The 13,186-nt window shown below is 40.6% G+C and overlaps 1 long non-coding RNA gene across 6 annotated transcripts in view; it reads left to right on the forward strand.

The window, feature by feature from the left end:
• The window catches only part of LINC02718 (long intergenic non-protein coding RNA 2718), a 376,384-nt gene that overhangs the window by 346,357 nt on the left and 16,841 nt on the right, over positions 1-13,186 (forward strand). For 4 of the 6 annotated variants that reach the window (NR_187208.1, NR_187205.1, NR_187207.1 and 1 more), the window contains one exon: positions 7,630-7,704. The exons of the other annotated variants lie outside the window; for them this stretch is intronic. This is a non-coding gene — a long non-coding RNA (long intergenic non-protein coding RNA 2718). The remainder of the gene's footprint in view (positions 1-7,629; positions 7,705-13,186) is intronic. 6 annotated transcript variants of the gene reach the window in all.

A 13,186-nucleotide genomic window follows, 5' to 3' on the forward strand; every position in this document is an offset into this window, starting at 1 on the left:
TGTGGCCCAGATCACTTGGTGCTTTGTAATCTATTGCAAGGACTTGGGATCTACATTGAGTTAATGGGAAGATATTGCAGTGTTTTGAGAACATCTCTGGTTAAGCCAACTGAAAATTATAATGGTCACTTTGGACAGTGTGTTGACTGTGGACTGAGGATGGCAAGGGTACAAGAGAACGGTTAGGGAGCTAATGCAACAAACCAAAAAAAGATGATGTTGTCTTGTACAAGGTTGGTAGCCCTGTAAGTGCTGATAGGTGTTTGGCTGTAGATATATTTTTAAAGCTGGAGTCTATTCATAAAAAGAAGAAAAAAGGCGAGCTACGTGCATTTGACCAAAACAGGAAATTCAGGAGAACTTTAAAATTTCTGTTTAATTTTCTTTTTTTTTTTATTATTATACTTTAAGTTTTAGGGTACATGTGCACATTGTGCAGGTTAGTTACATATGTATACATGTGCCACACTGGTGCACTGCACCCACTAACTTGTCATCTAGCATTAGGTATATCTCCCAATGCTATCCCTCCCCCTTTCCCCCACCCCACAACAGTCCCCAGAGTGTGATGTTCCCCTTCCTGTGTCCATGTGATCTCATTGTTCAATTCCCACCTATGAGTGAGAATATGCGGTGTTTGGTTTTTTGTTCTTGCGATAGTTTACTGAGAATGATGATTTCCAATTTCATCCATGTCCCTACAAAGGACATGAACTCATCATTTTTTATGGCTGCATAATATTCCATGGTGTATATGTGCCACATTTTCTTAATCCAGTCTATCATTGTTGGACATTTGGGTTGGTTCCAAGTCTTTGCTATTGTGAATAGTGCCACAATAAACATACGTGTGCATGTGTCTTTATAGCAGCATGATTTATAGTCCTTTGGGTATATACCCAGTAATGGGATGGCTGGATCAAATGGTACTTCTAGTTCTAGATCCCTGAGGAATCACCACACTGACTTCCACAATGGTTGAACTAGTTTACAGTCCCACCAACAGTGTAAAAGTGTTCCTATTTCTCCACATCCTCTCCAGCACCTGTTGTTTCCTGACTTTTTAATGATTGCCATTCTAACTGGTGTGAGATGGTATCTCATTGTGGTTTTGATTTGCATTTCTCTGATGGCCATTGATGGTGAGCATTTTTTCATGTGTTTTTTGGCTGCATAAATGTCTTCTTTTGAGAAGTGTCTGTTCATGTCCTTTGCCCACTTTTTGATGGGGTTGTTTGTTTTTTTCTTGTAAATTTGTTTGAGTTCATTGTAGATTCTGGATATTAGCCCTTTGTCAGATGAGTAGGTTGCAAAAATTTTTTCCCATTTTGTAGGTTGCCTGTTCACTCTGATGGTAGTTTCCTTTGCTGTACAGAAGCTCTTTAGTTTAATTAGATCCCATTTGTCAATTTTGTCTTTTGTTGCCATTGCTTTTGGTGTTTTGGACATGAAGTCCTTGCCCATGCCTATGTCCTGAATGGTAATGCCTAGGTTTTCTTGTAGGGTTTTTATGGTTTTAGGTCTAACATTTAAGTCTTTAATACATCTTGAATTAATTTTTGTATGAGGTGTAAGGAAGGGATCCAGTTTCAGCTTTCTACATATGGCTAGCAAGTTTTCCCAGCACCATTTATTAAGTAGGGAATCCTTTCCCCATTGCTTGTTCTTCTCAGGTTTGTCAAAGATGAGATAGTTGTAGATATGCAGCGTTATTTCTGAGGGCTCTGTTCTGTTCCATTGATCTATATCTCTGTTTTGGTACCAGTACCATGCTGTTTTGGTTACTGTAGCCTTGTAGTATAGTTTGAAGTCAGGTAGTGTGATGCCTCCAGCTTTGTTCTTTTGGCTTAGGATTGACTTGGCGATGTGGGCTCTTTTTTGGTTCCATATGAACTTTAAAGTAGTTTTTTTCCAATTCTGTGAAGAAAGTCATTGGTAGCTTGATGGGGATGGCATTGAATCTGTAAATTACCTTGGGCAGTATGGCCATTTTCATGATATTGATTCTTCCTACCCATGAGCATGGAATGTTCTTCCATTTGTTTGTATCCTCTTTTATTTCCTTGAGCAGTGGTTTATAGTTCTCCTTGAAGAGGTCCTTCCCATCCCTTGTAAGTTGGATTCCTAGGTATTTTATTCTCTTTGAAGCAGTTGTGAATGGGAGTTCACTCATGATTTGGCTCTCTGTTTGTCTGTTGTTGGTGTATAAGAATGCTTGTGATTTTTGTACACTGATTTTGTATCCTGAGACTTTGCTGAAGTTGCTTATCAGCTTAAGGAGATTTTGGGCTGAGACAATGGGGTTTTCTAGATATACAATCATGTCATCTGCAAACAGGGACAATTTGACTTCCTCTTTTCCTAATTGAATACCCTTTATTTCCTTCTCCTGCCTAAGTGCCCTGGCCAGAACTTCCAACACTATGTTGAATAGGAGTGGTGAGAGAGGGCATCCCTGTCTTGTGCCAGTTTTCAAAGGGAATGCTTCCAGTTTTTGCCCATTCAGTATGCTATTGGCTGTGGGTTTGTCATAGATAGCTCTTATTATTTTGAAATACGTCCCATCAATACCTAATTTATTGAGAGTTTTTAGCATGAAGGGTTGTTGAATTTTGTCAAAGGCCTTTTCTGCATCTATTGAGATAATCATGTGGTTTTTGTCTTTGGCTCTGTTTATATGCTGGATTACATTTATTGATTTGCATATATTGTACTAGCCTTGCATCCGAGGGACGAAGCCCACTTGATCATGGTGGATAAGCTTTTTGATGTGCTGCTGGATTCGTTTTGCCAGTATTTTATTGAGGATTTTTGCATCAATGTTCATCAAGGATATTGGTCTAAAATTCTCTTTTTTGGTTGTGTCTCTGCCAGGCTTTGGTATCAGAATGATTCTGGCCTCATAAAATGAGTTATAAATATTTGCTGAAATCCAAAAGGTCCCAAGCATTGTCCTAGGACATCAAAAAGAATACTTGAGTGATCTAGGCTCCTAATTTTGCAAGGAAGAAAAGCTACTAAGGCATGCAATTCAAGGGATGTGAGAAATAGGTTATTAGAAAATGCCATCAAAAAGATAAAAGAGCTTTCATTTGAATTAGGATAAGAGGGCATCTGCTCAAACAAGAGGAGCCAAAGTTTTCATAACTACCTGTTAAAATTCTACCCACCCATGAGGACATTTTGTAAGAATTCTGGAAGATTAGGTAAGATTTTAAATAGGTGAATACGGGATTCCACTTTATTATGCTTTAAATTGAAGACATAGAAGAGTAATGGAAGACATCAAAAGCAAAAAATCAAGGCCTTCAAATTGTGGAAAGCTGATTTTTTTATTTGCTCTTCTATATAGCCCTATTCACTAACCATCAACCATTCTTCCTTCTTAAACTCAGTGATACCAATATCACCCAGCCAACTGCCCTCAGTACTTCATAAGCATTCTACTCAACAAACTCCTCACCAACCTTCACCATCTCTACCTCTTCCATCATCAACTTCTATTTTTTAAATATGTCCCTGTGTTCATTAATTCATTAGAAATGTATTTACCGTAATCTATGTGCCAAGCTCTGGGGGGGTAAGGTCTAACTGTAAGAAGAAATAAAATAAGAAAATCCTGATTTCATTAAACTTTCCTCCCTTCTTGCGAAGACGCTTTTGGTTTAGGCCCTCATTATATTTCTCCTGTAAACTAGTTTTTAATTGATCTTCCTTCTCCTATTCTCTCCAATCTGTTCCTGTTCTGGCATCAGAGTGACAGTGCTCTCTATATAAAATATAAACCTGATCACATTACACCCTTGATTTATTTTAGCACTTAAAAAAATTGTAAATAATACAAATAACTCAAGTTGTCCAAACAAAAATGGGAATTGTTTGATATGCACAACTGAAGGTTCCAAGGATATTTTAGGCTTTAAGAAAAGCCTATCTGAATCTTCGAATGACATAGTAGGACTCAGTCTCTTGCCATTCTTAGCTTTGTTCTGCAACATGCTGGCTTCATTACTAGACAGGCTCTGTCAGATAGCACTGTGTCTGAGGCTTTCTTATTACTGCAACTTTTATTGAATCAATAAATCTGTAGTAAAGGAATGATGCAACTTTCTACTTCATCTTACAAGCAGTGGTGGTAAGATCTAATTTTCAGTTTTTCTTTTTTTTTGATGAAATAGTCTGATGTTTGTGGAGAGACAAAATTGCCCTGGATACTACTAACAATAAATCTCATTTATGGTTCCCTAAGTTTTTATCTATTATTTCCCAGGGTTTAGATACAAAATATTTTCCTGTTGCTGTGACAGAGTTGTCAAAGGTTAGAAAGGGTCTTTATTCAAATAGCTTCAATAAATGGAAAGAGATTTCCCTAAAGCCCTTTTGCTGATGTAAAAACATAGAGTGCTATTTGGCTAGGTAAAAATTGTGATCCATCTTCTCGCTGATCTAAAAAGCTATTAAAGAAAGGACCAAATACAAACCATTATTACAAGTTTCCTTTACAAAGGACCAATTTCTGGCCATATAGTAAAAGAAAGTCAATGCTATCTTTGCTCCCCACCTTCCCCACCTTGAAGGAATTGGGGAGGGTGGAGAAATGAAGGTCTGAGGAAAGGAGAGAAGAGATAGTAGAAAGAGCCTGGGTAGAGAGAGGGTTATAGGAGAGGAGCTACAAGCTTGCTGTAAATATACAGGTTACCAAGGTGTTTTTTTAAATCTAGGTAACAGAATGTGATACAGACATAGGTACAGATATTAGATATCTATTTCACCATCCTGGTTTTTTGAACTTGGAGCCCATAGACATTAAGAAGCAATGCAATGTCACATAGCAAGTGATAGTAAAAGTTCCTGACTTCTCCTCTGAAAGCCTTTCTATTGCTATTTTTGTGTATTCACTCATGAATTACATTGCACTTCTTTCTTTTTATTTATTTAGTTTTTAATTATACTTTAAGTTCTAGGGTACATGTGCACAACGTGTAGGTTTGTTACATAGGTTTATATGTGCCATGTTGGTTTGCTGCACCCATCAATTCATCATTTACATTAGGTATTTCTCCTAATGCTATCCCTCCCCCAGCCCGCAACCCCCAACAGGTCCCAGTGTGTGATGTTCCCCTGCCCTGTGTCCATGTGTTCTCGTTGTTCAACTCCCACCTATGAGTGAGAACATATGTTGCACTTCCTTATAAAAGAATACGGAGTGACAGTCAGTAAAACATCCCTGAACAAAATAAATGTTAAAATAGAATAGAGGAATTCTATTTGAGGAACTACATGGTCTAGAACATTTTAGCCATCGATACTTCATATTCCATGTGACACCAGCTTAACACTTCCAAGGGTATCTTAGACTGCTGGTAAAAGGTTATAGAGGTCTTGCTCCAGAGGATTGAATAGCTCTGAGAAGGTGGAGGGTGTTTGAGGTTAATGCACAGTATTCACCACATCCTTTCACATCTTTGCCTAAAGTGACATGCTAACTTACCATGACAAACTGCAAAGAGCCATTTTCTATAAATGAAATGTCCTGTCTTCCTTTTCCTGGGTGTGTGTGTGTGTGAGAGAGAGAGAAAGCGTCTGTGTATACAGTTTTAACTATTCCTACTTCAAATCTGAATTAAAAATAGAAAACATTATAACATGATTGAAAAAGATAATGCTGGAACCATACAAGATGATAAAAGAAAAACTTCAGCCAAATTAAATTTAAAGAAGTTTAATTGAGCAATAAACAATTTGTGAGTCTGGCAGCCTTCTGAGCCAGGGGAGGCTCAGAGACTCCAGTGCAGCCATATTATGAAAGAAGATTTATGGACAGAAAAAGGGAAATGACATACAGAAAACGGAAGTGAGGTACAGAAACAACTGGATTGGTTACAGCTCGGCATTTGCCTTATTTGAACATGGTTTGAACAGTTGGCTATATTTGATTGGTCAAAACTCAGTGATTGGCACAAGTATAGGCCACAGACTGTTTACAGCTTCACTTGTTATAATTCACAATGTACAGAAAAACCTTTTGACTGAACTTAAAATATGTAAGGAGGCAGCTTTACTCTAAACTTGATTAAACAAAGGTCGTGGCTCTATGAGATGAAAGTAAAATGTGAGTTTGGATAAATTCCTTTGATTTTGGGATCTCAGTTTCTCTAGAAGCACCATAGGGAACTAGAGGCGATAATAATCACTTAGGTCATTTTTCTTCCAATTTTGAAAGCCCTAAGAGCATAAAGTCAGCAAACAATGCACATATAAGCCATGCTGCACATCTGCTCTGCCCAGGCCCTTGGTATTCTTTGGACTCACTTCTCTTTGATCACTGATGCTGGTGTGATCTTTTCTTTAATCACATCTTTCATTTGCTCTTCGGAAGTGTGTGCTTTGCTTTGGTTCCTACCTTACCCTCTGCTTTTCCTAGCCGTTGGAATAAAACATTAGCTTCATTTTTTTAGCTCTTTCTTAATTTTATGACAGTAAATTGCAATTGATATTATTTTTGTAGCTTTCTTTAAACATATAATACAGCTGCCAAACTTATCTTGACCTATTTTCATCACCCTTTGCTCTTGTTCTTCCTACAATTCTTTTGAGTGCTTTACCCTCCTTCTGTATAACTTCAGCCTTCACTCCTCTCTGCTCCACCTTCTGCTTTCTTCTTGTTTCATCCTCCAGATTCTCTCACAAAGTAAAATGCCCTGTTTATTTTTGCCCAAGAGTTAATAGTACATTAAGTATTAAGAAAATTTCCTGGGTTATCACTCTAGCCTTTGTAATGTAAATACATCTCTCCAAGAGGCAGAAAATCTCTGGTGTCCCTGGCTTTGCGATCTAGAGATGTTTCCAAATTCTGGATTCTTATTTTACTTTGAAAGGCAAACATATACTTCTGGAGTTAGGTAAATCTCTCTGGAGTTCTTGCACTATCTTGACAGTAGTAAAATTATTAGGTAGAATGGTAATTGTACGTTTAGTTTTATAAAAAACTGCTAAACAGTTTTCCAAAGTGGCTGTACCATTTTGTATTCCATTTATTTTTGTAAAATATTTTAACCATAAGTAGTTTAAACTGCTGTCTCCAAATCACATCTTACCACATATTTCTCTTGAGGACCAATGGACCAGCTGTAAGAAATTTTGTGATCTGGCTAAGGGATAGTGAATGAAAGATATCTTTGAATAAAGTTTAGTGAAATGCAATTATGTAACTCAAAATCATAGCCATACGTTTTAGGAATTTTTGGCGTAAGAATGTCCAGAAATACACTGTTGTTCTAGAGCAACTCAACTGGTGGGTTAAAATGAAGGTGCCTGATATGATCACTTTCTACCCAGTGGAAGTATGTGTGTAGCAGAACAGAAACAAGGTTTGATATGTAAAGAGCCAAGAGTTCCTTTTCGAAAGATCTTTGCAGAGATTTGCAAACATCTCACATATTTAAGACACTTTTTATAAAAGACTTTCCAAATTTGACAACATGTCTAAAATTTTATGGGACTCCAAATATTTGAGTTATATAATGATTTGAGAAGATGAATCATACTTTTATATATATCAAAATACAAAAACAATTTCGACCAACTATGCTACATAAAACATTAATTTTTCTTTTATTATCGCCACAGGAAAGAAAACAGAATTTGTACTCATATCAGAAGGCAATCAAAGAACATACACATAATATACATTCTATTATAGAGGTATGACATATAGATAATTAATAAAAATGTTATTTTTTGAGTTTCTCTTATTAGTTTGCTTTTTAAAATTATAATGTGTTGTAAGCTACTTTTTCTTTCTAAATGTATATTAACTTATATGCTGAATTTTGTTTATAATTTTTGATTCTCTTTTTTAAAATAGCCCCCAAGCTGTATGAACTTTAGACCCCACATAACCTGAATCCAACCCTGCTTATAATGTCCAAGTTGTAAGGAATCAATACTTATTAAATGTTGACAAATAAAGGGAAATAATTAGGTAAGCATACTAATTACTCTAGATTCACTTAGAGATGCTAGCATCCCAAAATACCTCAGAACACATAAACACTCCCACTTCACACAACTTAGAATGCAAATGCCTGGAGTTTGTACATTTATAAGAAACAGTATTATTACTGTTAGCTAATGTAAATTGCTTGTAATAATTAGTATTTTTCATGCGTGTCCGTGTGAAGAGACCACCAAACAGGCTTTGTGTGAGCAACATGGCTGTTTATTTTACCTGGGTGCAGGTGGGCTGAGTCCGAAAAGAGTCAGCGAAGGGAGATAAGGGTGGGGCCGTTTTATAGGATTTGGGTAGGTAAAGCAAAATTACAGTCAAAAGGGGGTTTGTTCTCTGGCGGGCAGGAGTGGGGGTCGCAAGATGCTCAGTGGGGGTGCTTTTTGAGCCAGGATGAGCCAGGAAAAGGACTTTCACAAGGTAATGTCATCACTTAAGGCAAGGACCGGCCATTTACACTTCTTTTGTGGTGGAATGTCATCAGTTAAGGTGGGGCAGGGCATATTCACTTCTTTTGTGATTCTTCAGTTACTTCAGGCCATCTGGGCATATATACGTGCAAGTGACAGGGGATGCGATGTCTTGGCTTGGGCTCAGAGGCCTGACATTCCTGCCTTCTTATATTAATAAGAAAAATAAAACAAAATAGTGTTGAAGTGTTGGGGCGGCGAAAATTTTTGGGGGGTGGTATGGAGAGAGAATGGGCGATGTTTCTCAGGGCTGCTTCAAGCGGGATTAGGGGCGGCGTGGGAACTTAGAGTGGGAGAGATTAAGCTGAAGGGAGGTCTTGTGGTAAGGGGTGATATTGTGGGTTGTTAGAAGAAACATTTGTTGTGTAGAATTATTGGTAATGGCCTGGATACGGTTTTGTATGAACTGAAAAACTAAACGGAATAAGAGAAGGAGAAAAACAGGTATAAAAGGTCTAAGAATTGAGAGGACTGAGTACATCTGATTAGAGAGTGCCTAAGGAGGTTCAGCATAGTCCTGCCAGCAAAGATTATTGATTTACTTCAAGAGTTTAGAGTGGCAGTTTGGGGATAGCACGAGGAGATATCAGCTGTGATGGCTTGGAGAAACAGTGTAAACCGGCAGTGTAAACAACAGCAGGGCATGTATGAGTAGTTGAGAATGGAGAATAGGCGTATGACTAGACAGAAAATAGTAGGGATGACGAGTTTTTTTGGGGCACAGTCCAAGTTGGTCTGGTGTCTGGAATGAGACTGGGGCCTAATAAAAAGGAGCTCAAATGGGCTGTACCTTATAGCAGTCTGAGGACAGGCCTGAATTCTGAGAAGCGAAAGTGGTAAAATTATTGTCCAGTCCTTTTTAAGTTGGTGGCTGAGCTTGGTGAGGTGTGTTTTTAAAAGACCTTTAGTCCGTTCTACTTTTCTTGAAGATGGAGGACCGTAAGGGATATAAAGGTTTCACTGAATACTAAGAGCCTGAAAAACTGTTTGGCTGATTTGACTAATAAAGGCTGATCTGTTATCAAACTGTATAGAGGTGGGAAGGCTAAACTGAGGAATTATGTCTGACAGAAGGGAAGAAATGACTGCAGTGGCCTTCTCAGACCCTGTAGGAAAGGCCTTTACTTATTCAGTGAAAGTGTCTATTTAGACTAAGAGGTATTTTAGTTTCCTGACTCAGGGCATGTTGAGTAAAGCTAATTTGCCAGTCCTGGGTGGGGGGCAAATCCTCGAGCTTGATGTGTAGGGAAGGGAGGGGGCCTGAATAATCCCTGAGGAGTAGTAGAATAGCAGATGGAACACTGAGAAGTTATTTCCTTGAGGATAGATTTCCACGATGGAAAGGAAATGAGAGGTTCTGAGAGGCGGGCTAGTGGCTTGTACTATAGCATAGCCTGCCTTTGCTGGTGTGTGGTGATTAGGCCTGGTGGAACTGCCATCAATAAATCAAGCGTGATCAGGGTGAGGAACAGGAAAGAAGGAAATATGGGGAAATGGGGTGAATATCAGGTGGATCAGAGAGATACAGTCATGGGGGTCAGGTGTGGTATCAGGAATAATGTGGGAGGCCAGATTGAAGTCCGGGCCAGGAACAATGGTAATTGTGGGACTTAACAAAGAGTGAGTACAGCTGAAGGAGCCGGGGAGCAGAAAGTATATGCATCAGGTATGAGGAAGAAAATAGATTTTGGAAGTTATGAGAACTGTAGAGAGTGAGTTGACATAGCTTGTGATTTTGAGGGCCTCTAAAAGTATTAAAGCAGCGGCAGCCACTGCACGCAGACATGAGGGCTAGGCTAAAACAGTAAGGTCAAGTTGTTTGGACAGAAAGGCTACAGGGTGTGGTCTTGGCTCTTGTGTAAGAATTCTGACTGCACTAACCATGCCTAGAAAGGAAAGGAGTTGTTGTTTTGTAAGGGATTGAGGTTTGGGAGATTAATCGGACACGATCAGCAGGGAGAGCATGTGTGTTTTTATGAGAATTATGCCGAGATAGGTAACAGATGAGGAAGAAATTTGGGCTTGACTGAAGTAATGGGGGCTGTCTGGGAAGCTTTGCGGCAGTACAGCCTAGGTAATTTGCTGAGCTTGATGGATGTCAGGGTCAGTCCAAGTGAAAGCGAAGAGAGGCTGGGATTAAGGGTGCAAGGGAATAGTAAAGAAAGCATGTTTGAGATCCAGAACAGAGTAATGGGTAGTAGAGGCAGGTATTGAGGATAGGAGAGTATATGGGTTTGGCACCATGGGGTGGATAGGCAAAACAATTTGGTTGATAAGGCGCAGATCCTGAACTAACTTGTAAGGCTTGTCTGGTTTTAGGACAGGTAAAATGGGGGAATTGTAAGGAGAGTTTATAGGCTTTAAAAGGCCACGCTGTAGCAGGCGAGTGATAACAGGCTTTAATCTTTTTAAAGCGTGCTGCAGGGTGGGATATTGGCGTTGACTGGGGTAAGGGTGATTAGGTTTTAATGAGATGGTACGGGGTACATGAACGATCGCCAAGGAGGGAGTAGAGGTATCCTATACTTGTGGGTTAAGGTGGGGGGATACAAGAGGGAGGATGCAAAGGAGGCTTTGGATTGGGAAGAAGGACAGCAATGAGATGCAGCTGTAGTCCAGGAATAGTCAGGGAAGCAGATAATTTGGTTAAAATATCTCGCCCTAATAAGGGAACTGGGCAGGTGGGGATAACTAAAAAGGAGTGCTTAAAAGAGTATTGTCTAAGTTGGCACCAGAGTTGGGGAGTTTTAAGAGGTTTAGAAGCCTGGCCATCAATACCTACAACAGTTATGGAGGCAAGGGAAACAGGCCCTTGAAAAGAAGGTAATGTGGAGTGGTAACCTCCCTATTGATTAAGAAGGGGACGGGCTTACCTTCCACTGTGAGAGTTACTTAAAGCTCGGCATCCGTGATGGGTTAGGGGGCTTCTGAGGCGATCGGGCAGTGTCAGTCTTCAGCCGCTAGGCTGAGAAGATCTGGGAAGGAGTCAGTCAGAGAGCCTTGGGCCAGAGTTCCAGGGGCTCTGGGAGTGGCTGCCAGGTGAGTTGAACAGTCCGATTTTCAGTGGGGTCCCACACAGATGGGACTTGACTTAGGAGGAATCCCGGGCTGTGGGCATTACTTGGCCCAGTGGCCAGATTTCCAGCACGTGTAGCAAGCTCCTGGGGGAGGAGGTTCTGGAGGAATGCCTGACTGCTGCGGTTCAGGCGTTTGGAAGTTCTTATGTGCTGGAGATGTGGCTGGGGTTTGTCTCACAGTGGAGGCAAGGAATTGCAACTTTTTTCTGTTATTGCACACCTTGAAGGTGAGGTTAATTAAGTCCTGTTGTGGGGTTTGAGGGCCAGATTCCAATTTTTGGAGTTTTATTTAATGTCGGGAGCAGATTGGGTAATAAAATGTATATTGAGAATAAGACGGCCTTTTGACCTTTTAGGGTCTAGGGCTGTAAAGCGTCTCAGGGTTGCTGCCAAACGAGCCGTGAACTGGGCTGGATTTTTATATTTGAGGAAAAAGAGCCTAAACGCTATCTGATTTGGGATAAAGAAAAAGGAGCATTAACCTTGACTATGCCTTTAGCTCCAGCCACCTTTTTAAGAGTAAATTGCTGGGCAGGTGGGGGAGGGCTAGTCACAGAATGAAACTGTAAGCTGGACCAGGTGTGAGCAGGGGAGGCGATAAAAAGATTATAGGGTGGGGGAGCAGAGGCTGAGGAAGAATTGAGACCTAGCTTGGCCTGGCGAGGAGGGGAGAGGTCAGATGGGTCTGTAGAAAAGGAAGGTTAGAAAGACTCAGTGACACTTGGGGTTGGGACCGAGGGGACAGGTGGGAGGGAAAGAAGGAAGATTTTTGACGAGTTGCATTGGGCACAGAGACTAGGAAGGGACTGATGTGTAAAAGATGCCTGGATGTCAGGCACCTCAGACCATTTGCCAATTTTATGACAAGAATTATTTAGATCTTGTAGGATGGAAAAATTGAAAGTGCCATTTTCTGGCTATTTGAAACTACTGTCGACTTTGTATTGGGGTCAAGGGGCATTGCAGAAGAAAATAAGATGTTTAGATTTTAGGTCAGGTGAGAGTTGAAGAGGTTTTAAGTTCTGAAGAATACAGGCTAAGGGAGAAGGAGGAGGAATGGAAGGTGGAAGCTTACCCATAGTGAAGGAGGCAAGCCCAGAGAAAAGAGTAGAGACACGGAGAAGGGGTGGGGGGTTCTTGCCCTCCAGAAAAGCAGAGAAGGGGTTGAGGCACGGAAGTAATTGATTGGGGCACAGAGATAAGAGGTTGGGGTGCGGAAATAAGCGATTGGGGGGTTCTTGCCCTGTAGGAAAGCGGGACTTGCTGCTAAGGGTGAAGGAGAAGGGGTTGAGGGGTACTTGCTCCTGCCCCAGAAAAGCAGAGAAGGGGTAGAGACAAGGGGAGAAGGGGTTGAGGGGTACTTGCTCCTGCCCCAGAAAAGCAGAGAAGGGGTAGAGACAAGGGGAGAAGGGGTTGGGGTACTTGCCCCTTCCCCAGAAAAGCAGAGAAGGGGTAGAGACAAGGAGAGAAGGGGTTGGGGTACTTGCCCCTTCCCCAGAAAAGCGGGACTTGCCGCTAAGGGTGAAGGACCAAGGCAGGCGTCCCTGCATGGTCTGACACCCTTGAAACGTGGGTGAATAATCAGAGAGGTGTCCCTGCAATGATTAAACACCAAGGGAAGGCTGCCTTCC

Source organism: Homo sapiens, chromosome 11, assembly GCF_000001405.40.
Source record: "Homo sapiens chromosome 11, GRCh38.p14 Primary Assembly".
Classification (NCBI taxonomy): domain Eukaryota; kingdom Metazoa; phylum Chordata; class Mammalia; order Primates; family Hominidae; genus Homo; species Homo sapiens.